The sequence below is a fragment of the Homo sapiens genome, chromosome 6 (genome assembly GCF_000001405.40).
Source record: "Homo sapiens chromosome 6, GRCh38.p14 Primary Assembly".
Lineage (NCBI taxonomy): Eukaryota > Metazoa > Chordata > Mammalia > Primates > Hominidae > Homo > Homo sapiens.
Genome location: NC_000006.12, coordinates 127,316,930 through 127,341,798, shown reverse-complemented (window position 1 = coordinate 127,341,798; position 24,869 = coordinate 127,316,930). Strand labels below are relative to the sequence as shown.

The 24,869-nt window shown below is 36.0% G+C and overlaps 1 protein-coding gene, 1 long non-coding RNA gene and 1 pseudogene across 13 annotated transcripts in view, besides 2 other annotated features; 2 read left to right on the top strand and 1 right to left on the bottom strand.

The window, feature by feature from the left end:
- Window positions 1-24,869, top strand: part of ECHDC1 (ethylmalonyl-CoA decarboxylase 1) — a 54,898-nt gene that overhangs the window by 1,811 nt on the left and 28,218 nt on the right. For 5 of the 11 annotated variants that reach the window (NM_018479.4, NM_001002030.2, NM_001139510.2 and 2 more), the window contains exons 2-3: window positions 10,769-10,990; window positions 14,655-14,797. In NM_018479.4, the coding sequence (NP_060949.2) occupies window positions 10,771-10,990; window positions 14,655-14,797 (363 nt within the window). In that variant the 5' untranslated portion in view covers window positions 10,769-10,770. Of the gene's footprint in view, window positions 1-9,931; window positions 9,970-10,768; window positions 10,991-14,654; window positions 14,798-24,869 lie in introns of all 11 variants that reach the window. The other 6 variants (XM_005267047.4, XM_047419071.1, XM_047419073.1 and 3 more) reach the window with 2 other exon arrangements.
- On the bottom strand, window positions 140-24,814 carry LOC105377994 (uncharacterized). Of its 2 annotated transcripts, XR_001744334.2 has the most exons (4): window positions 17,880-24,814; window positions 16,523-16,637; window positions 2,930-2,999; window positions 140-312 (listed from the first exon to the last, which is right to left on the bottom strand). It is a non-coding gene; the product is annotated as an uncharacterized LOC105377994 (long non-coding RNA). The 2 variants fall into 2 exon arrangements; XR_001744333.2 differs by having other exon boundaries at window positions 2,911-2,999; window positions 16,523-24,814.
- Window positions 8,286-8,835: an enhancer, noted in NCBI's record as "H3K27ac hESC enhancer chr6:127654109-127654658 (GRCh37/hg19 assembly coordinates)". NCBI's record gives its function as "activates a minimal SCP1, AML or CMV promoter by ChIP-STARR-seq in primed H9 embryonic stem cells {active_cell/tissue: H9 hESC(primed)}" and the evidence as "EXISTENCE:reporter gene assay evidence [ECO:0000049][PMID:30033119]".
- Window positions 8,836-9,386: an enhancer, noted in NCBI's record as "NANOG-H3K27ac hESC enhancer chr6:127653558-127654108 (GRCh37/hg19 assembly coordinates)". NCBI's record gives its function as "activates a minimal SCP1, AML or CMV promoter by ChIP-STARR-seq in primed H9 embryonic stem cells {active_cell/tissue: H9 hESC(primed)}" and the evidence as "EXISTENCE:reporter gene assay evidence [ECO:0000049][PMID:30033119]".
- RNA5SP217 (RNA, 5S ribosomal pseudogene 217) lies at window positions 23,826-23,916 on the top strand (annotated as a pseudogene).

Below are 24,869 nucleotides of genomic sequence, written 5' to 3'. Positions count from 1 at the left end.
GATTTAGTGATTACAGTATAAGGTGAAACAGGTAAAGGCTTTTAGAGAACATCTCACTTATTTCCTGTGCACTAAAGGGAAACAGATCACCTTTGCAGAACTTGAAAAAAATGGGAAGTGCGACCTTTGATCTCAGATGGACTTTCTTTCCTCTTTTCAGTGGCTTGGTAGTGAGCTTGTTCAGCTCCACTGAATCTTCTTTGTGGTGGGGCTGCAAGACATCCTGCATGGCAAGTTTTAAACATAAGTTTTACCCCGAAGAAAGCTTATAAAATTGTAAATGCTTCAGAACCTTTTCATCTTCCTGTGATTCTGGAAGAAATCCAAAAAAAACCAATCGTTTAACTACATACTTCTACAGAACCTGAATCTTAAGCTTTGTTCACTTTATACTATTAGATACTATAGTAGGTTAATAATGACTAACACCTTGTCATCTCATCACTGAGCTTTTGTCTAAGATAGTCTCTGAATTTAGAACTGGGACGAAAGTGTACATAATAGGCTATTATAAAATTTTTAGAATTGGATTTCTAAACTTGGGGTCAGTGAATCTAGCAGGCTTAAGCAGTGTTCTCAGGTTTTTCTGGCACAGACAAGGAATATAAGAGGAGGAGAGAAAAGGAGAGACAGTAGTGGGAGGGAATAGAATGAGAGAAGATAGAAAATATGGAATTAATAGAGAAAGGATACATGAAGTATTACAAGATTTTCTTGGAAAAATTGGCATTTCAGTGATGGATCAAAGATGTCTAATGAGGCAAAATACTACTATTACTTAAATATTTAATGTTTTAAAGATTTGAGGATAAAAGGATATAGATCTGATGGCGTTCATACTAATTGCTGTAGTGTTGATGTTGGAGAGAGGGGTAATGTATCAAGACAGAGCAGACAGACCCTTTACAATGAGAGCAGAAGATATGTTGTTTACTGATTCTACTTTCCCACAAAATGCTAATGCTTTTATAAGTCCCTCCTCCTTATTTTCTAGATTAACTCCTTGTTTCTTCCTCTAAACAGAGGATTATGGCAGACAGGCAAAAAAAAAAAAAACTTTTAAAGCAACTATCTAAGTCCTTACCAAGTTTCTTTAGCACTTTTATTCTAAAGTTATCAAGGTGGAAATTGGGGCCTCTGCCCCACATGTATCTGCTTCATTGGGTTGTATCTTCATACCTGATTAACGGCATATTCTAGGCAAAAGCAAGACCCTAGGCATGCTATGTTTGGCTCTGAATATGTAGGCCTCCCAGGTTTATTAGCTGAACTGGTACATGACCTTGACAGCTTATTTTCCCTAGACTAGAAGCATTCCTAAGGAACCCTGAGCTCTAGGCTATTTGGCCTTCTTAGAATGGGACACTTCCCAAATTGAAGGCAGCCCTAGGTTGCAGAGAGGAGAGAGGAGGGAGAAAGGGAGAGAGGGAGAAAGCAAGTTCCCTTCATCCTCAGTAAATAGAATGAAGAAGGGAAGGACACAGTGAGTCAAGTCTTATCTCAATACCTACTGGGTAAATTGCCTCTCATTCTGAGAAAGTTATAGAAAATGCATCAGGTTATCCTTAACTCACACCTAACAGTCTTGTGAGAAAATCTGTTCAAATAGTTAAAGTAGGAAGAATACTACTAACTAGACCCTTATACGATATGTATTATATGTAGATATGTAGAATGACTTTGTATTGTCTATTAACCTCATTTCTTAAAAAGTGTCAATATTTTTATTAGTGATCCAATAGAGATTATGTTGCATATAAACCCATTTTGTAAATATGAATAAAACCAGACAAGGAGCTCTTGCCTTCCCTTTCTGAAGAGGAGCAGAGATTCCTCAGCTAGGAGTGATGGAGAAGGTGTGGCTCTTTGGCAAGCTGACCAGAGGCCAGTGAAAGATTATTTATTTATTTGGCTGACTATGATACCCTCACTTGTAGCCACACCCCCTGGGTTTGCATTTTTTAAAAACCCCAACAGTGAAATAGTTCTTTTTTCTTTTTCTTTCTTTCTTTTTTTTTTTTTTTGAGACAGAGTCTCTCGCTCTGTCACCATGGCTGGAGTGCAGTGGTGTGATCTTGGCTCACTGCAATTTCCGTTTCCTGGGTTCAAGTTATTCTCCTGCCTCAGCCTCCTGAGTAACTAGGATTAGAGGTGTGTGCCACTACACCTGGCTGATTTTTGTATTTTTAGTAGAGATGGGGTTTCGCCATGTTGGCCAGGCTGGTCTCAAACTCCTGACCTCAGGCGATCTGCCCACTTTGGTCTCCTAGAGTGCTGGGATTACAGGCATAAGCCACCGTACCTGGCCTGAAATAGTTCTTTTTTTCTTATTTTGTAAATATAGATATTATCTTTAGTTTAGAAAATGATGACTAGGTACCATAATACCTATATAGTAATAACCACATTATGTGTCATTTAGTTCCACAAAAATTTAATGTAAAATTCTGCGTTAAGAGCTGTAAGATGCAGTCCCTGTCCTGATCACCCCTAAAATGCTACAGCTTATCTCGTATGTACCTTTCTGTTATGTTTTCTGGTTGTGCATGATTTTTTAAGAAATATCATTACCTTTAATAAGGACCTTTGCTTAGCTGCCAGACTTGTCAACAAAGAAATTTCAGATATCTATAGGCTGTAATTATTGTTAGTGGCTACTGATGCAATATGTAAAGTAGAGGTCTGAAGAAACTAGTTTTGCAACTGGCAGTTTAGGAGATTGGAAGGAATTCCTGAACAGGACATCTGTCAATATTTGGAATGATACTCTTCTATTTAAAAAGAAAAAGTTTCCTGAGAAGTAAATGTAGCACACATACCTAGAGAGTAAAATGTATAAGATGAATTTAAAGAACAACAACAAAAGAAATAACTGTGGATGCATTATCTAGGTTAAGAAATAGAACATACCCGTATTTTGAAACTTAACTTTTTCAGTACTGGTTAGGTGACTCAACTGGTATTTTTCTTCATTCATCACATCTGTGTTTCTTTTCTTTCTGGCCAAATGCAATGTAACATAAATTTCAACTCAGTGAACAAAAGTCATTTGTTATAGAAGTAATATATAGCTGTGAAACACTAGTATTGCACTGTTTCATAACCATAAAAATTCTGGTTACACATATGTAGGATAATTCTGGTTTTATATATATGTATGTGAGTATATACATTTGATATTTACTTTACTCCCTAGCAGAGCTGGTATGTTGCTTGATTTTGGTTGTGCTTCTGCTTAGAATTTTAAAAATTAGAAAGAAGGGCAATAAAGCATCATAATTCCATGCACTGATTTAATGTTATTGGATTCATTTATACCTAAAGAAAATCCTTAGACTACATGATAAAGGTTTACTGGTGGAAAAAAAAAAGATATCCTTTTATGAAGTTAAGATTATACATTAAATTTAATGGAACTCTCTAGTAGAGCTCAATAAAAGGAGATACTTTGCTCTATTTTCAATTAGATATTTGAGTTATTTTTGCTTTATGTGTGCATATTTTGTTTCTCTGACAAAACTGAAAACTTTTAAAGATGCTTTCTCTCTGAAATCGCTAACAATGGGGTGATCACTAATAGGAATTCAGTAAATAGCCATTGAATTGCTACAGAACTACCTCTTACCAAATGCTCTTAACATATGCATATATGTCTATACACTTGGATCCCATTTCTTGGCCAGAAAAGTCTACATATAAATGTAAATTTAATGGTCCATATGCCAAGAAACTAATAACTGTTTTTATTTCTGAGAATGCAGCTAAATATCTACTTACCTACTTTAAATAATCCAGTGAAGAATACCATCCTGTTTGAAAATATTTGTCTTAATTGCTAATCCAGTTACTATGTTTTTAAAAATTTGCCTTTAAAAAAGTAAAGAAAGCTTCAGAATTCATTTTGAATGATATATTTTGGTATATTTCCTATTTTTCTCATAGACTTTGACCACTGAACTTCGGTCTAAGGGTAGTGAAAGGGGAGGTGAAACAGAAAGAATAATGGTTGAGTATGGGAGGGTTATGATTATGAATGGAGATTACAAACATAAATACATCCTGTCATGAGAATATAGGTGTTGTTGATGCGAACAGTCAAACTCTGTAAAATATTTTAAGAGATTTATTCTGAGCCAAATATGAGTGACCATGGCCTGTGACACAGCCCTCAGGTCCTGAGAACATGTGCCCAAGGTGGCTGGGGTACAACTTGGTTTTACATATTTTAGGAAGGCATGAAACATCAATCAAATACATTTAAGAAATACATTGGTTTGGTTCAGAAAGGAGGGACAACTTAAAGCGGGGGTGCTTCCAGGGTATAGGTAAATTTAAACTTTCTGGTTGACATTTGGTTGAGTTTGTCTAAAGACCTGGGATCCATAGAAAGGAATGTTCAGGTTAAAGATAAAGGATTGTGGAGACCAAGTTTTTTTGTGCAGAGGAATCTCTCAGCAGACTTCAGAGAGAGCAGGTTGTAAAATGTTTCTTATCAGACCTAGAAGGGTGCTTGGCTCTTAGTTGATTATCTCCTGGATCTGGAAAGAAAGGAAGGAAAACAAAGCGGGAAGGGGAGGCTCTGTAGAATGTGGATTTTTCCCACAAGAAACTTCGCAGGGCAATTTCAGGGTATGGCAAGGAAATGTATTTAGGAATTAAATATTTTCTTCTTGTCTTAGAATGTTATGCCAGAGTCAGATTGAAAAGTAAGTCACAATATACAGGGTTAAATAAAACCCATCTGATGAGAATTTATGGTTTGTAGGGCATGACTCCCCAGACCCCTTAGGTGGGAATTTGGGCAAGATTAAAAAATCAGAGCTTAGTCCTCAGTGTGGTTAACCAATTTGTTTCAAGCCCCATTGCTTGGCATTTCTCAATAAAGTCTGAAATTTTTAGTTTAAGTTGCTTCCACTAGCTAAGAGATTTTGAGGCAACTTGATATTTACATTTGAGTGATAACTTAGAAAGTGTCTAAAATCCTTGGTGTTTTTTTCATAACCACTTCACACTTTGTAATTGGTAACATTTTATTTGTAAAACTTTTCCCCGCTTCCATTTTCCGTAGACTTGAATTTTCTATGCTTATCACTTTATTTCTCCTTCAGGGTAAAATATTTAAAAATACAGTTCTGTGTGCCTTAGAGCAAGAAAACTCTCAACCACAGAATTTGTCCTTGCCCAGGAAAGTTTTGCTTTCCAGTTAAAGAGAGAGTTTATTTGACCAGGATAGCTCATTTTCCAATAATGGTAGATAACTAATGGTAATAATTTCAGAAATACTTCCTTTCCATAGACAGAACTTTTACTTCCCTTTGGGAAAGCAGGGAAATAGGTCTTTGAACCAGACTGCAGTTTTGGGTAATGGAGCTATATAAGGGAAAGAGATAAGTTAAATATGGGGAATAATATTCAGTGAATGAAAATAATATTTGCAGGAACATTATTTCAAGTGAATCATTTGTTTAAAATTAAATAATCTATTATTTAAGTATATGGCAGTAATTTTTGGCATTTAAAAATTTTATTTAGTTTCACAGTATCCTCTCATTCTTCTACATGCCCGGTAATTTTATGTAGTACTGGTAAAGTACCTATTATTGCACTAAATTAGGTGGTGAGAACATCTGTGATATAAACTTTCATTCTGCCTTTATTGTGTCACTAAACATTTCCATGTTCTAATTAGATTCTTTTATTTTGAAGTTTATTTTAAAAATCTTGCAGGGTACCTTGAATTAACTGAAAATATCCTAGAATGTTGCAAAATCATGTTTGATCATTGTTCCCTCTAGCTTTCTAGTTCTTCAGGAGGCCTTAGATACCTTAAAATCTGTTAATACCATAGAATCAGTTAATACCGTATCATTTTCTAATTTGACAGAACAGGTGATGGGATGGAAGGATGTCTCATAAGTTATACTGTATGAGTTTTGGAAAAGGAGTATGGAATTGCCAATAGATGAAGACATTAAAGTATTGAAAATACTAAATATTTAGATATTTTGCAACTTGTAACATTTGACCACTTTCCTTATTAGTTGCTTATTAGTTTTGTATATCACATTGACCCAAACCTTATTAATCACAATTCATTAAGTAGGTCACCCAGTGCTTTCATTATTCTTTATTCGGTAACCATAGCTGCTGGCAACTGGTGACTTTTTTGGTGGGAGGGAGGGAGGATACAAAGAAAGACGATAACAGATTTGAAATTAAGGGAAAGAATAAAGTTATGACAGTTAAAAGCAGGTCCTATCAAAGATTTATGATGGCAAGTTAGAACATCTTTTTTTTCTTGGAAAAATAACATCAAGTTTTTATTCTTAGATACCATTTTTTAAGATGACAAGCACCCCGCTACTTTTTTTGTCACACTCTAAAATATAATGCATTAGGTCACAATTTATCTGAGTTACACTTCAGTCTCCTTGAGGAGATTTAAGAAAGGTCTTGGTATCTTCAATATTGTAGTTATAAGCCACCTTAGTTGGTAAAGTTTTGAAATACTGTTCTCAAGTTTTTGAAATATATGTGTTTGAGGGGATTACATCCCACTGTGTGTTCAGGTAAGTATTCATTGGAAACACTTTGGTAAAAATGTCACTTGAAGGCCATGTGACTTAAAGTGGAAACCAGATATTGTATTGTAACCTTTATATGTTCTCTGTCAGTTTCTGATACCATTTTATAACTCACATATTAGATATATTTTTAAAGCTATAAAACAAGTTTGTGGCATTCCTTTTGGCTGCGTGATGAGTTATTTTTTTTACTTGCCTACATTCTCCCTCATTAACTATTAAGTAAGTACCTTTTATGTATTAAGTACTGTAGCCACTAGTGACACAAAGTATGTACCTCAGAATACTCTCAGGAAGCATCCTTCCAACTGAGAAAAACAAATGAAAAATTGAAATGATTTGAGGAATGTGTTAAAATGGAACATTATTGCAGTATACTGAGCTGGGATAAATAAAGGGAGTGATTATCTTTACTTGGGGAATCACTTTTAGGTGGAAATATAGAAATTCAGTTTTTAAAAATGATTGGGGATTTACCAGGTTAATGAGGGAGGAAAGAACAATATAGGGGAGAAGCAATAATATAAAATAGCATGGTAAATTTGTGGGACTCTGGTTATTTGGTGTTCTGTATTGATTGTGTAGAGATATCAGACGAGAAGAGATTCAGGATTTAGGTAAGAATTTAAAAAAAGCTTTGGACTTGATCCTTTTGGTAGACAGCTACTGAGAAACCTTAAATTTGAAATGTCCTGATTGGATTATAATCATATCCACATTACTCTAAAGAACAGTATGCTACTAACTGGTGACTGTTGTATTAATTCAGATTATATGTAATGAAGTTTGAACTGTATTAGTAATAGGAGAGGGAAAGATCAGAAGGAAGTAACCATTTTGGAGGGCCATTGCATACGGACCTCCAAATAGTGGTGGAGAAGGAGACTGGGTTGATTTAGAGGTTTTCTGGCATAGATTACAGGGTTGATGATACAATGAATAGTTCAGGGAAAGAAGGAGTAATGGGTTTTACGTGAAGTATGAGTTCAGGATTAAATAATGATTTTGAGAAGCCTATGATAAATCTAGAAATGAGGGGTAAGGGATTGCATTTCTGTTAGGCAATACTAAGGAGTACAGGCATAAGGTCTGAATTAGAGATAGAAATGTGAGATTCATGTCTTGTAGGTTTTAGGAAAGTTGTGAGCAGAAGAATAAAAGATCTCTAACAAATTAATAAAAAGGCAAATAAATAGAAATAATGGGCAAAAAGCTTGCACAGGAACTTCACAAAAGATGATATGCAAATGACCAATAAGCATAAGAAAATGGGGTTTATCTTCGTTAGACATTATAGAAACACAAAATGAAACCACAGTAAGATACCATCCACTAGAATGCCTAAAATAGAAAAAACAAAGAAGAAGTGATACTTGTGGAGCAACTGGAGCTTTCACTGCCTGTGGGAATATACATTTGTACAGCTATTTTAAAAAACTGACAGTATATTCTAAGGTTGAGCAAATGCATACATTATAACTGGTGGTATACTGGTAAACTGTGTGTGTGTGTGTGTGTGTGTGTGTGTGTGTGTGTGTGTGTGTGTGTAAGAGAAAGAGAGTATGATTGATATGTCATGTAGTCCCACCATGGTCAATTTCAAGCTACTGATAGTTTAAAGAACCAACTTGCAAAATAAATGTTTAATCATCAGTGTAGACTGGGCCGCAGCACACCAACCCAACAATTTCATTCCTAGATACATACCCATCAGACATGGGTATGTATTGATCAAAAGACACATGCTAAAATGTTCATAACTACTCTATAGTCATGCCAAAAGCTAGAAATAATCCAAATGTCTATTAAGATTAGAATAGATAAATTGTGGTATATTTATATAATATGTGAAAGGAAAATAGATCTCAGGACCCCAAAATCACTAAGCCAAGGGAAAAGTCAAGCTGGGAACTACATCAGGTAAACCTAACTCCTATATTATTCCTAAATAAGATGGCTGAAAAGATAAAAGAGCTACATACCTCCTTCCCAGTTTGTCCATAAGGAAATTCCTTGTGATCCTTAAGATCTTTACCCTAAAACTAACTTCTGTTGAATTTCACTCTGACATTTAAACCGATAGCTTATGTTCATAGGTGCTGGACAGAAAGCCATCCCTCTGGGCTGGGCGTGGTGGCTCACACCTGTAATCCCAGCACTTTGGGAAGCCAAGGTGGGTGGATCACTTGAGGCCAGGAACTTGAGATCAGCCTGTCCAAAATGGCGAAACTCTGTCTTTACTAAAAATAGAAAAATTAGCTTGGCATGTTGGCATATACCTATAGTCCCAGCTACTCGGGAGGCTTAGGCACGAGAATCACTTCAACCTGGGAGGCTGAGGTTTCAGTGAGTGGAGATAGTGCCCACTGCATTACAGCCTGGGCAACAAAGGAGAGACTGTCTCAAACACCCCTCCCCTGCCCCCAAAAAGCAAGTCATCCCTCTGCTAACTTCAGACAAATGCACATCTGATTACTTCCTCTGCCCTATTGTTTATGTAAAAATGCAGATTCACTGAGCCAGACTAAATTGTGTATTCAGTAGAAGGCTGATGAGGTACTCAAAAGAATGCAACCTTTTGTCTATTATCTACCTGTGACCCGGAAGAACTCCCCTACATCCACCTCCTGCCTCCCCACCACCCTCCCCCACAGAAGTTTAGAGTTGTCCTGCCTTACCTCAGTCAGACCAGTGAACATCTTACACATATTGATTGATGTCCCATGTCTCCCCAAAATGTGTAAAAGTCAAGTCATACCCCGACCACCTTGGGCACATGTGGTCAGAACCTCCTGAGTCTGTGTCTTGAGTGCATTCCTAACCTTGGCAAAATAAATATTCTGAATTGGTTGAGACCTGTCTCAGATATTTTGGGTTCACAAATAGAATACAGCCATGAGAATAATGGACTATTTAGACTCTGATTACACATAACACTAATGGATGCTAATAAAATTGAAACCAGACACACAATATATAGTATTTATATAAAGTTCAAAAGTAATCTCGTGTATTAGAAGTCAAGAAGTTACTTTTACTTGAAGGGTTTTGACTGAAAGGTGACACAGAGGATCTTGTGAGCTTCAGGTTATGTTCTGTTTCTTGATTTGGGTTCCATTTACTAGAATGTATTCACCTTGTGAAAATTCATTGAACTGTAACTTATATTTTATATACTTTTTTGCATATAATCTTATATCAACAAGGATGTTTACATAGGGCAAGAAAAGCTTATGGGCAGAGATGAGATTACTCAGGAGGTAAAAATTAAGAGGAGAAAAGTGACAGAACCTTGGGGAACAGAAAAACCACACACACATTCCTATTTCCCTCCCCATTTTTCTTAGGACCCTTTCCAGCTTTTTGCCTGAAAGCTTTGCAGAAGGTAAGAATAATGCTAAGAATAAAACTTCTGTTAGAGAGTGGGATTGCTCTTGCAGCATTTCTGCATAGAGGCTGTTTCCAAGGGGACACTTGGACTATATTTATTCTTAGATTTTAAAAAAGTTAAGAGTTGGAGAATGAAGAAGCATGTGATGCAAAAGACTACCTAGAGGCAGGAGATGGTGCAAAATACAGAGCAGCATTTTTTCTAAGCTTTCCTATTGTATTGGAGCACAGTAAATATACTGTAATTATGCCATTGTCTCTTAGTGATATATACTGAAATGATATGCTTTGTGAATTATTTGGTTTGAGAAGGAGGGAAAAATGAAAGGAATTCCATACTGATCATTTCCTGAAAGAGTGCTTTTAGAAATGGGGAAGTGGCCAGATGGGACAGCTCACGCCTATAATCCCAGCACTTTGGGAGGCTGAGGTGGGTGGATCATTTGAGGTCAGGAGTTCGAGACCAGCCTGGTTAACATGGTGAAACCCTGCCTCTACTAAAAATATAAAAATTAGCCAGGCGTGGTCATGGGTGCCTGTAGTCTCAGGTAATTGGGAAGCTGAGATAGGAGAATCGTTTGAAGCTGGGAGGCAGAGGTTTCAGTGAGCTGAGAGCTTCACTGTACTCCAGCCTGGGCAACAGGGTGAAATTGTCTCAAAAAAAAAAAAAAAAGAAATGGGGAAGTATTCCCAACTCAACAGAAGGGTCCATTACTACAGCCTATTAACACATAATATTAGAAAAGTGAGTGCCTATTCATCTATACTACCGCATACTTATTTCTGTTTTCCAGAAATGGCGAAAAGTCTTTTGAAGACAGCCTCTCTGTCTGGAAGGACAAAATTGCTACATCAAACAGGATTGTCACTTTATAGTACATCCCATGGATTTTATGAGGAAGAAGTGAAAAAAACACTTCAGCAGTTTCCTGGTGGATCCATTGACCTTCAGAAGGAAGACAATGGCATTGGCATTCTTACTCTGAACAATCCAAGTAGAATGAATGCCTTTTCAGGTATTAGGGATCTTTTTATTCCTAAAGAATGACACTAAATCTAAACTGTTATCACAAGTTTTTTTATCCTTGCTGTGGTGACAGAATGTTTTAAAGTCCTTGTACTCTTGGTAGAACATGAGAAAAATAACAAAAACAACAACTCTGTAATATGAACTAGAAACACTTTAAGTAACTTTTAATGATTATGGATATTTGAATGTTTTCAGAAAACTCATTAATACAGATATTGATAAAAAGGAAATCTAAATTAATCTTGATTATATTTTCCACCGAAATTCATTAACTGTTTAATAACTTCATTTGTTTTCAGCTAATGCTACTAGGAAACAAGGAGAAAGAGGTTTCAAAGAGTTCCTGAAACTAAAGAGAAAAGCCTGTTAATGAAAAGAATTATTTAGCTTAATTTTTTTCTGTGAATTGAAATAAAATCATTGTTAGTTTTTAACCTTTTAATTCCATGGTTACAGAAGAAACACGGCACTTGTCCAGCTGTGGAATCTTCCCTAACTCTTAGATACTGGTGAATGCCTTCTATTTTCTAGTCAACACTCTTAGCATATAAGAATTTTATATTTAAGAGAACTGAAGATGCAGGACATGTGGTACTTTGTAATTTTTGCTGAAGCTCAAATTTGAACTACGCTACCACTGTGTTATGCAGGAGCTAATGAGTAGCCTTGTTGAATACTCACCACTCCTATTTTCAAGTTGATTTTAGTAATCTCTCCTTTTCAGTTATGCACTTCATGATTATAATCTTTAGTAGCATTTGAAATTTGAGGCTCAGAAAATCTCACAAAATTTTCATGTATCTACTTTATATACAGTTGTACTATAGACATAATTCAATAGTCTGTAAACCCTTTGTAAATTACCAGTGGTGAGTCTTTAAACCCAAGATGACTTTTCTCTCCACTTACCAGAATTCAGAGAGATTTCTCTATACCAGTGCTGACCAATGAAAACATAATGTAAGAAACAAAGGTGAGCCACATGTGCAATTTTAAATATTCTAGTAACCATAGTTTAAAAAAATTTAAAAAAGGTAAAATTAAGTTTAACAATTCACTTATAACTCAGTATATCCAAAATATTTTTTTCAATATGTCACTAATATAAACAATTATGAGGTATTTTTCTTTTTATTTTCATACTAAGTCTCTGAAATCTGGTATTTATTTTATACTTATGACACATCTTAATTTGGACTAGCCACGTATCAAGTGCTCAGTACACACAGGTGACTAGTGACTACCTTATTAGACTTTGTAGTTCTATATGTTCAGTTGGTTTAGGGAATAAAAACCAATTTAATATTAGTCCAGGAAAAATAGAAATTGAAAGGTAAAATTTCTCTAGAAGGTTAAATTGGATCAATAGTGATGATTTATTTCTGAAAAGTTACAAATAATTTTTTATTCAATTAGAAACATATTATTTTGATGCATAATATATAAAACTAATGCTTTGATTTGGGTAATGGTATTTGGTGGAGTTGGATTGGGAGAGGATGAATGAGCACTCAAGGCCCTTGTTTAAAAATCATTCAGTTAGATACTCTTTAAGGTCTCTTCCATCTTTTGAGGTTTACTTTGCAAACTTGAAAAGATTAGTTTAACAGTAACTACTGGTATGGATTTTTCTTATTCTCATGGCCAGCATTTCAGCATCATAGGAAAGGTTTAAAAAAAAATCAGCACCATAGGAAAGGTTTTAAAACAAAGGCCAACATTGTTTTTTTTATTTATTTATTTTTATTTTATTTATTTTACTTTTTTTGAGATGGAGTCTCACTCTGTCGCCTAGGCTGGAGTGCAGTGGCGCGATCTCAGCTCACTGCAAGCTCTGCCTCCCGGGTTTACGCCATTCTCCTGCCTCAGCCTCCGGACTAGCTGGGACTACAGGCGCCTGCCACCACGCCCGGCTAGTTTTTTTATATTTTTAGTAGAGAAGGGGTTTCACCGTGTTGGCCAGGATGGTCTCGATCTCCTGACCTCGTGATCTGCCCGCCTTGGCCTCCCAAAGTGCTGGGATTACAGGCGTGAGCCACTGCACCCGGCCTGTTTTTTAGAACCTTAAATATTATGAGTGATTAAAGGCCCATATTAACCTATACAGATTTATTCTTATACTAAAAATATGGGTTTCTTCTTTCCCTTACTAGACTATATATCACTTGAAAGCAAAAGAACGATATTTCTAAAGGATCTAGGACATCCTTGGAAAGGGTTACAGTTTTAAGTGCAGTCATTTGTTGCTTTGTGATGGGGATGCATTCTAAGAAATATGTTAGGTGACTCTGTCATTGTGTGAACATTGTAGGGTGTACTTACACCTAGATAGTATAACCTATTACACACCTATACCATATGATACAGCTTGCTGCTCCTAGGCTACAAACCTATTCAGTGTGTTACTTCCTGAATACTATAGGCAACTGTAATACAAACATGTGAATAATTCATTGTACTACATTACAATGGCTATGATGGTTACTAGGTGATAGGAATTTTTTAGCTCTATTTTAATCTTGGGACCACCATGGTATATGTGATACATTGTTGGTGCATGACTGTAGGTCATAATTAGCCATAAGAAAGGATAGCTGCATTAGTCATTTGTGAGTTAGTATCATTAACATAACATTTACTGTGGAGCCACCTCACTCCTGGCTACTTCAGAAAATGGCAAAGAAAATAATAGTTCTTGACATTGTGGGATTTATATTCCAAAGAAGTGTACATAATTTAATGGGGCCATCTTTTGGAACCTTGTGGTACAAATTTTTTGCCAGTTTTAACCCGCTGTTATGATCTTTATACATTGGCTTCTAAAGCATTGCCTAGGCAGAGGAAATTAAAACTAGTCATGTTGAAAACCATGAACTTTGTGAACTTAGAAGATCACCAAAGATAAGCATATCTAAAAGTTATTGATTAGATCTTAAAATGCCAGTCCCAGCTGTTTCTGTGTTAAATTTGTCTATTATAAAGAAGCTCCAATAGAATTTTGGAGTAATATCAAGGTAACAATCTATAAATCATAGAATCAATGGTTGGTAGGCCTGTGAAGAACTTCCATCGTATGCCTCAAGCCCCTCAGAGGACAGTTTGTTAACCATGGAACAAGATGGTATTTATTACTCATTTCCTCAATTAACATCCTATTATACTAATTCTGATGTCAGTAGTATAGGAATTGTGTTTTGTTCTGTATACCATATGTCCAATATATCATAAGATCTCATAGTCATGTTATACCCATAAAGCTTTATTGACTGAGACATGTATTGCTGAGAAGTCAGGTCTATGTCTTATCTTTACCCTAAGAAATAATTTTTTCTTATTACCATATCGTTTTCTTATTCTTAGGACAGCATAGTATATTCTTATTCTTCTACATAATCATATATTTATGTGATTTCTTAAGATAAATGGAGAGATAGACACATAATAAATTTACATTTACAATGCAGGGCCTGCCATGTGTACCTCTTCTGTATACTCCATAGTGCCAGTGCAGTAGGCATTTGATAGACACTCAGTAAATATTTATAAAATATAGGACCTAAGAGTATGCTTGACACTTGTGATTTATAAATTATTTCTGTTTTTCCAGTCACCTTCATATATTTGTGATTTCCCACTTCCATCTCTGGCAGGTGTTATGATGCTACAACTTCTGGAAAAAGTAATTGAATTGGAAAATTGGACAGAGGGGAAAGGCCTCATTGTCCGTGGGGCAAAAAATACTTTCTCTTCAGGATCTGATCTGAATGCTGTGAAATCACTAGGAACTCCAGAGGCAAGTGTTATATGAATTATGCATTTGATTCTACATGTTTATTAGACATGTATGGCAGATACATTTATATTTTACTAATGGTTATGATGACTTTAATAACTTTCAAAGGATTATGGGGATTTTTTGGTTTGTTTTGTTTTTGGTAGGATTATAGGAGGAACAATATAACAAGCAAATGATTCTGAGGTTTTACTAGTAGTATATCTGCGAACGGCTCTTGTTAAAAGCTTTGAAATTACTGTTATTTCTAGTTTAGCAGAACACTCTCAGTTGTGTTAGATATTTTGGAGGGTGGGATTCTCTCTCTCTCTTGCTGTTAATGTTACTCCAGCCCCCTCAAATGCCCCACTTTGTCTGTTTATTTTTAAGTGTATTGATTTCTTTTTTAAAAAATATTTTTAATTTTAGAATAATTTTAAATTTACAGGAAAGTTGCAGATGGAATACAGAGTTCCTGTACACCCTGCATCCAGTTTCCCCTTTTATTAACATCTTATATTCCTATGGTACATAGATTTATTGCTACTAATGAACCGATGTGATAGTCTGTTCTCACACTGCTCTAAAGATCTACCTGAGACTGGGTAGTTTATGAAGAAAAGACATTTCATTGACTTACAGTTCTGCACGCTATACAGGAAGCATGGCTGGGAGGCCTCAGGAAACTTAGGATTATGGTGGAAGGCAAAGGTGAAGCAAGCACATCTTACCATGGTGGAGCCAGAGGGCGGGGAGAAGTACCACACACTTTCAAACAACAAGGTCTCATGAGAACTCATTCACTATCACAAGAACAGCAAGGGGGAAATCCACCCCGATGATCCAGTCACCTTCCACCAGGCCCCTCCTTCATCCTTCAACACTGGGAATTACAATTTGACATGAGATTTGGTTGGGGGACACAGAGTCAAACCATATCAACCCACATTGTTACTTTACTATTAATGAAACTCTACTGTATGATTTCATTTATATATGGAATCTAAAATAGTGAAACCTATTTTAGCATGGTGGCTCACACCTATAATATGAGTGCTTTGGTAGGCTGAGATGGGAGGATTGCTTGAGGCCAGGAGTTCAACACTAGCCTGGACAACATAGCCAGTCCTTGTCTCTACCAAAAAATTAAAAAAATTAGCCGGGTGTGCTGGCACATGCCTGTAGTCCCAGCTACTTGGGAGGCTGAGGCGGGAAGGTTGCTTGAGTCCAGGAGCTTAAGGCTTCATTGAGCCATGTTGGTGTCACTGCACTCCAGCCTGGGTGACAGAGTGAGACCCTGTCTCAAAAAAATAGTGAAACTCAGAGAAGCCAGGACTGGAATGGTGATTATCAGGGGCTTGGTGGTGGGGATGGGCAGGGATTGGTCTTGAGTGTTCTTGTTACACATACACACAAAGTTAATAATAATAATAATAAAAGGGGTGGGAGGAAACTTTGGGAGGTAGTGTATATGTCAGGGCCTTGAGAGTGGTGATGGTTTAATGGGTGTATACTTATCTACAAACTCATCAAGTTGTATACATTGAATATGTACAGCTTTTTACCTGTTAGTCATAATTCAACAAAGTGTTAAAAAGAAAAAAGAAACTCCACACTTCATTCATATTTCAGTACTTTTTCTACTGGTATCCCTTTTCTGCTTCAAGATCAAATCCGGGACACCACAGTACCTTTAGCTGTCATTGTTTCAGATTCCTCTTACCTATGATAGTTTCTCAGACTTACCTTGTTTTTCATGACCTTGGCAGTTTTGAAGAGTGCTGGTTAGATATTCTGTAGAATATCCTTCAAATGGAATTTGTCTGGTGTTTTTCTCATATTAGGCTGGGGTTATGGGATTCTGAGAGAAAGACCAGAGGTAAGCTTCTATTTTCATCACATCACATCAAGGGAATATGCTGTCAAGGTGACTTATCACTAATGATGTTAACCTTGGTCACCTGGCGAAGATAGTGTTTGCCTGGTTACTCTATTTTAAATTTACTTTCCGTACTCCACTCCTTGGAAGCAAGTTACTAAGTTTAGTCTACACTCAAGGGGGAAGGGAAAATAAATTCCATCTCCTGGAAGGGGGACATATAAGTCCATTATTCTTATGTAAGGGGGATTTGGGTCTTCTTCCCCATTTACTCACATACTTATTTATTCAGTTATTTATATCAATATGCACTCATGGATATTTATTTTATATGCATTATTCATTTTGTTGCTCAAATTGTTCCAGCTTTGGCCATTGGAAGCCCAAAGACCAAAGACCCAAAGTCCTGTCTTCTTTTGTCACTCCCCTATCCTTTTGTTTTTTGAGTACTCCCTTACTTTCTAGTATTATTAGATACTCCAAGTTAATCTTGTATTTTCCCTGCTCCAATTATATAATCGGTGATTTCTTCAAGGAGTCCTGGTTATGGAAAATGGTAGAGGATGGTGATAGAAACTAAGATCTAGGTGTTAGGTGTTTCTGTTTTTCAAGTACATTGATATAGCACATTCCTGGGTTAGTCGAGCCTACCTGTGACTAAAATAGGATAAAGAAAAGCTCTTAATGCAGAGTGAGAAGTCTTGGGTTTAGACATAGGCCTGCCACTCAACTAAATGAGAAAGTTGCTCAATTTCCTCTTAGCCTCAGCTCCATGGGATATATAAAATCTATCTCACAGGCGTTTTTGAGGATTGAGTTAGCTAATGTATTCTAAAGTGCTTTGTAAACTAGAGGGAGCTACTGTAACATTTTAAATAGGTAATATAAATTAGTAATATTAAGATGATAGATCAAATTCAATATCATCACTTTTCCTTTAGCAGTCATATGAAGTCAGTACTTTTGTTATTGTTTATTTGTTTTGCTTTTTAAAGATTAGGGTGCAGTAGTGGGAAGGGCTGAAGAAAATGAAGGACAGGAAGATTAGCAATGAACAAAAGTGGTCATCATTAAAAATCAGCAAGAATTTGAATTCCTTTAAGTGGAAGCTCTTTAGCATCTCATGATAAGTTTTACATGAGCTATGTATATAAATCACCTAGTTCTGGCACATAGTAAAGTTCAAGAAGTAGTAACAAATTTAAAAATATGCTTTTGAATTACCCTGACAGAGTAGAAATACTATCATCTTCCTTTATCAATCCTCCAAGGAACTTGTTTTCATGAATTCAGTGCTCCTTCCCCCTCTACCACATCTTCTAGGAAAAACAAAGAAAAGAAAAGAAAGGAAGGAAATGAAATTAGAAAGGGAAAAAAGTAAAGTTTTCATGATATTCCATAAGTCTCATGCCACTGTATGTAGTATATGATTATTATTTGCACATGTGAGGAAGAATCTTTTGGTTAATCAGAACACTGGCTTTGATAAACTTGGATTTGAAAGCTGGTTTCAATACTTTCTGGCTAAGTGATTGGGCAAGTCACTTAATCTTTCTAAATCTTATTTTCCTAGTCTATAAATGAGGAGTATAGTGGATATTTCGCTGAGCTATTGTGAGGATTCAAGATAATATATATAAAGTGCCTACTAGCACCGTATCTGAAAAAGGTAGCTATTATTTTTATTTCAAAGATCTTGAGATTAGTAAACATTATCATTAATGAGATGATGCATAATTTGTAGCACCCCACTAGACTTAAATTTGTGATGTATCTGAACGGTTATAGCACTAAGCTGGAAATTTGAAAAGACGGATTTTTCCCTCCAAGATCTAATAATTAGCTATGTCACCTGCAAGTCATTTGATTATACGGGTTGAGTATCCCTTATCCAAAATGCTTGGAACTAGAAGTATTTCAGATTTTACATTTTTTCAGATTTTGGAATATTTACATATATATATATAATGAGATATCCTGGGAATGGAACCCAACTCTAAACAAAAAATTCACTTATATTTCATATACACCTTAAACACACAGCCTGGAGGTAATTTTATACAGTATTTTCATTAATTTTGTACGCAAAACAAAGTTTGTGTACATGAGATCAGGTGTGGAATTTTCCACTTACAGTATCATGTCAGCACTCAAAAAGTTTTAGATTTTGGAGCGTTTAGATTTCATATTTTCATAGCTCAACCTATATATATGTATTTTTCATCTCTCAAATGGTTGTATCACTGTTCACCTTAGTTCATGAAAGACACTGTTAAAGACAGAATGATATAATAGACTGTTGTGGGTTTGATATAAGCTGGTTAGGAAAACATCTCTAAAAAGTGAGTGGTTATTTTACTTTCTAATTTTCTTTTAGTTAGAAGGTTGTTTCTGTCTCTTTAGATCATGTGACCACGATTCTTTTTCTATATATTTAGAGATGGAAGTGGAAACATGCTTATTGTTTTATATATACATCATTGTATATATATATATACACACATATATATATAGTATATATACATCATTGGTCTGGCATAAGTCATGCAGGAAAACATGGAGAGAGTTTTTATTCCAGCTTCAAATAAGGAATCACTTAGTAAAGTTCATTCTTTCTAGTACCTACATTCTCCAAGTAATCTGCTCTTTTCAGTGCCTGAAGTAAATCTTGGTTAACAGCTGAGGAGTAGTATTACTGCAAGTGTTCGTCACTTGTTGCTGTATACATCTGTCAGTCTTATCAAGGAAATGTGGAATGGTGAATCTGCTTTACAATGAGTATGCCTAGAACTCAGAATCTTATTTTATTTAAAACATTGATCTCGTTTTATTTTATTGAGACAGAGTCTTGCTCTGTCACCCAGGCTGGAGTGCAGTGGCAGCGATCTCGACTCACTGCAACCTCCGCCTCCTGGGTTCAAGTGATTCTCCTGCTTCAGCCTCCTAAGTAGCTGGGATTACAGGCGTGGGCCACCATGCCCAGCTAATTTTTGTATTTTTAGTAGAGACAGGGTTTCACCATGTTGGTCAGGCTGGTCTCAAACTCCTGACCTCAAATGATCTGCCCTCCTCGGCTTCCCAAAGTGCCAGGATTACAGGCATGAACCACCAGGCCTAGCTACTTTTTTGTTTGTTTATTTTGAGATGGAGTCTGGTTCTGTTGCCCAGGCTGGAGTACAGTGGTGTGATCTTGGCTCACTGTGACCTCCACCTCCTGGGTTCAAGCAATTTTCCTGCCTCAGCCTCCCAAGTAGCTGGGATTACAGACACCCGCCACCACACCTGGCTAGTTTTTGTATTTTTAGTAGAGATGGGGTTTCACTGTTTTGGCCAGGCTGGTCTCGAACTCCTGACCTCAGGTGATCTACCTGCCTCAGCCTCCCAAAGTGCTAGGATTACAGGCGTGAGCCACTGCACCTGGCCCGACGTCCAGCTATTTGAAAAAGCATTTTATAGGGTAGATGAATTCTTTATTATCCTTTAATGAAATCTCTGAAGTCATAGTATAAGAAATATATAGCATAAAAGTAAGCACTTTGAATATGGATAATTTTAAGAATTGTAACAATACATATAAAGTATGGAATGTGTTTATCACATTATGATTTTAAAATTAACAAGAACTAGAAATAGTTTATGTAAAGTTCCCGATATTTCCATGTTTCCTATAAACTATATTCCTATATACTTGAGAAGGAACTATAAATCTGTGTAAAGCTGAAACTTAAAATGGCCTCAGGACTTTTGAGGCTTATACATGTATTATATATGAGTTACAGCTGCAACATATAAATGCATCTACCCCTCATGGCTGAAACATTCTGAAACTTATCATGGCTTTAAGTTATAAACAGTTTGTCTGTTAGTGAGGCTCTTCTTTATCCAAATACTTACTCTTTGTTGTTACAGATGCATCACTAGCATCTACTTACTTGCTGAATTTGCTTTCTGAGGATGATGAGATAACTGAAATATATGACAATTTTAGCAATTAGATTATATTCCCTTCTAATAGTGATAAAATGCTTGGAAGTGATTAAGTGGCTTTTTTATCATAAAAATATAATTATTTTGATGTTTTTACTACTGTATTTTTTCAGTTTTAAAAAGCTTTTTATTAATGTAAACTACAAAATACAGGTAAAAGCAGAGACTAATACAGTGAAACCCTCATGTACCCATAAGAGCATCAACCCTATCAATATTTTATTATATTTCTTATCTATTATTCCACTTTTTTTTTCTTTTAAGTGTAACTGATCCCATAAGAAGTTGATCGCGTCTTGGTATGCTTTGGTTATTGTGCAGGAAAAGAGCTCCAACTGTCCCTATTAGGCAGTTAATTCTTGGTTCAGATGGTAGAGGCCAGGAGATCCACTAGGATAACACAAACATTAACCCTGCTGAAAAGTTATGTATTGGAAAGACAAAGGAATAAAATAGAAAAAAATATATTTAAATATTAAGACTTGGATTTGATGCCACAGATGTCCTGTAGGCTATAAGAAGTTTCTTTTCAGAGGGAATAAGTAATCAAAGTGCAGTTATAAGCTTCAGAATATGGAGAAATAAAAACCTGCTTAGTCTTCAATGGATCAGTATAATGCCTCAAGGAAAAGTCTGGCATTTAGAAACCTTTCTGTTCTTAATCTACCTTGAAGACTATATCCTCCTTTGTCCCTTAACTTTCCTTGTTACTTTTCTCCCAATCTATTGTTCCTTCGATCTCTGTTGCTTATGTTTCTATGGTGACCTCAAAGTTCTTGTCTGACTTCCTTGTGTTTGCTACTACTATTGTACCATACCCTGATTAATTTACAGACAAGCGGCCAAGCACGGTAGCTCACACCTGTAATCCCAGCACTTTGGGAGGCCGAGGTGGGCAGATCACCTGAGGTCAGGAGTTCGAGACCAACCTGGCCAACATGGTGAAACCCGTTTCTACTAAAAATACAAAAATTACTTGGCCATGGTGGCAGGTGCCAGTAATCCCAGCTACTCAGAAGGCTGAGGCAGGAGAATCACTTGAACCCAGGAGGTGGAGGTTGCAGTGAGCCAAGATCACGCCACTGCACTTCAGCCTGGGAGACAGAGCAATACTCTAGCAAAAAAAAAACTATTTTAATTTTCTCTAAGCTCTTCCATGTATTTTGAGGAAATTAATAAATCCATACAACAAGCACTTAAGAAAGGGCTTATTTTTGTTTCTAAATAAGATACTTCTACAGGCTGGGCATTTTTCCACTCTAAACATGGCTTAGAGTACATATGATGTTAATCATTCCTTTTGGCATTTTGGTTGAGCATTGTTCTTCTTATCCTTGTTTTATGAGAAGGAGCTAGAGGAGTAGGGTTGGATCTCAGGTATCATCCAGATAGCATGAAAATATCACTGTCTGCAGCAACTTTGAAAACCTTGTTTTAGTACTTCTCAGCTTCCAGCTTTTATACATTAGAGCAGGTCTAGCTTTTTACTGGTTCCTCACCCACAGCTTACTCTATCACAGATATCTCTTACTGGCTTATTTGCTTTCTTCAACCCAGTGAGAGGACAGAGCATTTAACCATTGTGGGCTTAATAACTTTGGAGGACAAATTTAATGAAATCTTTCTCATCTCTAGGGCATGTTGGCCATTACTGCTTAAACTTCTGTTTTATGATACACTTAAAACCAAAACATACTCATTATCTATTGCCAGTATTGTTAGTAATATTAATAATAATGATAGATAACTTTTATTCTCTTACTGTATGTCAGACACTGTTCTAACCTTATTTTGTGCCATAACTTAATCATTACTAGCTCCCTTAATAAAATATATACTACTGTTAGCACAATTTGCAGATAAGAGACTGTAGGACAGAGAGGTTAAGCAGCTTGGGCAAAGTCAAACTAATTAGAAAGTGCTAGAGCCCAGATTCAAATGTAGGCAGATTGGCTTTAGAAACTGTGCTCCTAACCGTTTACTTCATACTGCTTCTAATAGACATTTTTAGCGTGCCTTTTGTCTTTTGAATGAAAATTATAATAGTACACAGGCTAATAATTTGCTTCACCTTTATTTCTACCAATTCTAGATACTTCATTGGAATTTTATGTAATCTAAATGTAGCAAGAGCAAATATGCATATTAAAATTACTTGATATAGGTAATAGAACAGATTTTATTGGAAAGGTTTTTAGCAGAGAATAAACCAGTTTACTTTGAAAGCTTTTTAGCTCCTCGTGCCTGTGTTAATTTTCTCATCACTTCGTGAGATACACTGATCTTCCTGATAACAGCTTTGGATTAGGAAATTCCTTCCACATTGGCTTTTACTTTTTCTTGACTGCATTTGTTTTATAAATCAACATAGTTCTCCATCTAAAATTCATCTAATTTTTTTAAGTTCAACAAACACTATGTGCAAAACATTTTACTAGCGTCTGAGGAGGGGGAAGGCATACTGTCACCATCAAGGGACTTACTGTCTAGACCTAGCAAATGCCACCTTCCCTTCTCCTCTCTAAAGCCTGTCTAACTACCCCCATCCCAATTGAAATGAATAATTTCTTCTTTGACACTCTTCTGAGTTTGTTCAAGCACTTTGTATAATACCTGTACTTTGATAGTTGTATTTCTGTATCTCTGGCAAAATTATTGAGAACTTCTTAGGTTCTCTAGTCCCCATCTTGTAGAGATGATGTGTCTGATAATGCATCTAAACACATATTCATACAACACAATTTATAAGTACTATAATTAAGGCATAAAAATAAAAATACTGTTGAAACACAAAAGAGAAAATTGTTATTGTGAGATTTAGAAAATCTTGATGGAAAAATATTATATGATCTGGGCATTCCTTGAAATAGGTAGAGAGAAGGACAGCCTATTACAACTAGTAGGAATGATAAAAGCAAAGACACAGGAGCCACAATAAGTGTAAGGTGTTAGAGGGATGGCAAATAGTTTGTGTGGTGAAATTAGGATGCTTGGAGGAGGGGTATGGTAATCAATAAAGTTGATAAGATAGTTTGGGATCAAGTGGCCTTGCCAAGAAATTTAGGTTTTATTCTATAAGACATCATCATCCTACAGGAAGGTTTATCAGGTAGCAGGATGGAAGATTATATTTAAGAGGAAAAAGAAATTAAATACAGAAATCAGTTAGGAAGCAAAGCTGTTGTCTCCAGCCATACCACCCTGAATGCACCCAATCTTGCCGATCTCAGAAGTTAATCAGTGTTGGGTCTGATTAGTCCTTGGGTGGGAGAAAGCAAAGCCATCTTACTGTACTAATCAAGGCTTGAGTAACACAGGTATGAACTAATGCAGCAGCAGCAAAAATATAAAAGAAGGGATTGATATTTGAAATATTTCTAAGGTAGATCCGAGGGGAAGTACTTGGTAACTAACTGAGTGTGGGAGAATTGTGAAACGGGAAAGTCAAACATAGTACCAAAAATCTGAGCCTTATTGACCGCTAGCTCAGAACTCTTACACTAACTTTTTCCACTAACACAGAACACTTATGCAATCTTTTATAGAGTTTCTAGGTATATTTTCATCTTTCTAAACATCCTTTAAGTCAAATAGTGCAATTTTTTTTAATTTCTCATTTCTTATGAATGAGGAAACTGAATTACGTAGTCATGACTTGCTCAATTTCATGTTGTTATTAAGTGGCAGCACTAGGATTCAAAGTCAGTTCTTTTACTTTCAGTTGGTTTTGCCGTGCTGAGTTTGAGGTGCTATCAGAATGTGAAAATGTCTAGTAGATTTTAGCACTTTATATGGAAGTAGATGAGACTTCCAAAAAAAAGAAATTATAAATAAAGAACAGAGAAAATCATGGATTAGAATTTTGAAACTGCATGGATTTAGGGGATTAGCTGGATAAGAAGAGCCAAGGAAGAAGACTGGAAAAGAACAAACAAAGAAATAAGAGAACCAGGTGTGTAAATGTTGCTAGAAAGTGAGAGCAAATATGAGAATGAAGAAACTGATTAAAGAAAGATACTACGTGTTATGGAGAGAGAAAAGGTGAATAAGGAAAAGTCATTTAATTTGACAAGTAGGAGATTATTAAAAGCTTTTGAGGAGAGATTTTGGGATAAGGCAGAGGGCCAGATTACACTGGATTGAAGAAAGTATGTGAGCTAAAAAAAAGACAAGGCAATGAGTTTGGACTACTCTTAGGAAATTTGTTTGTGAAAATTATAAGTTGTG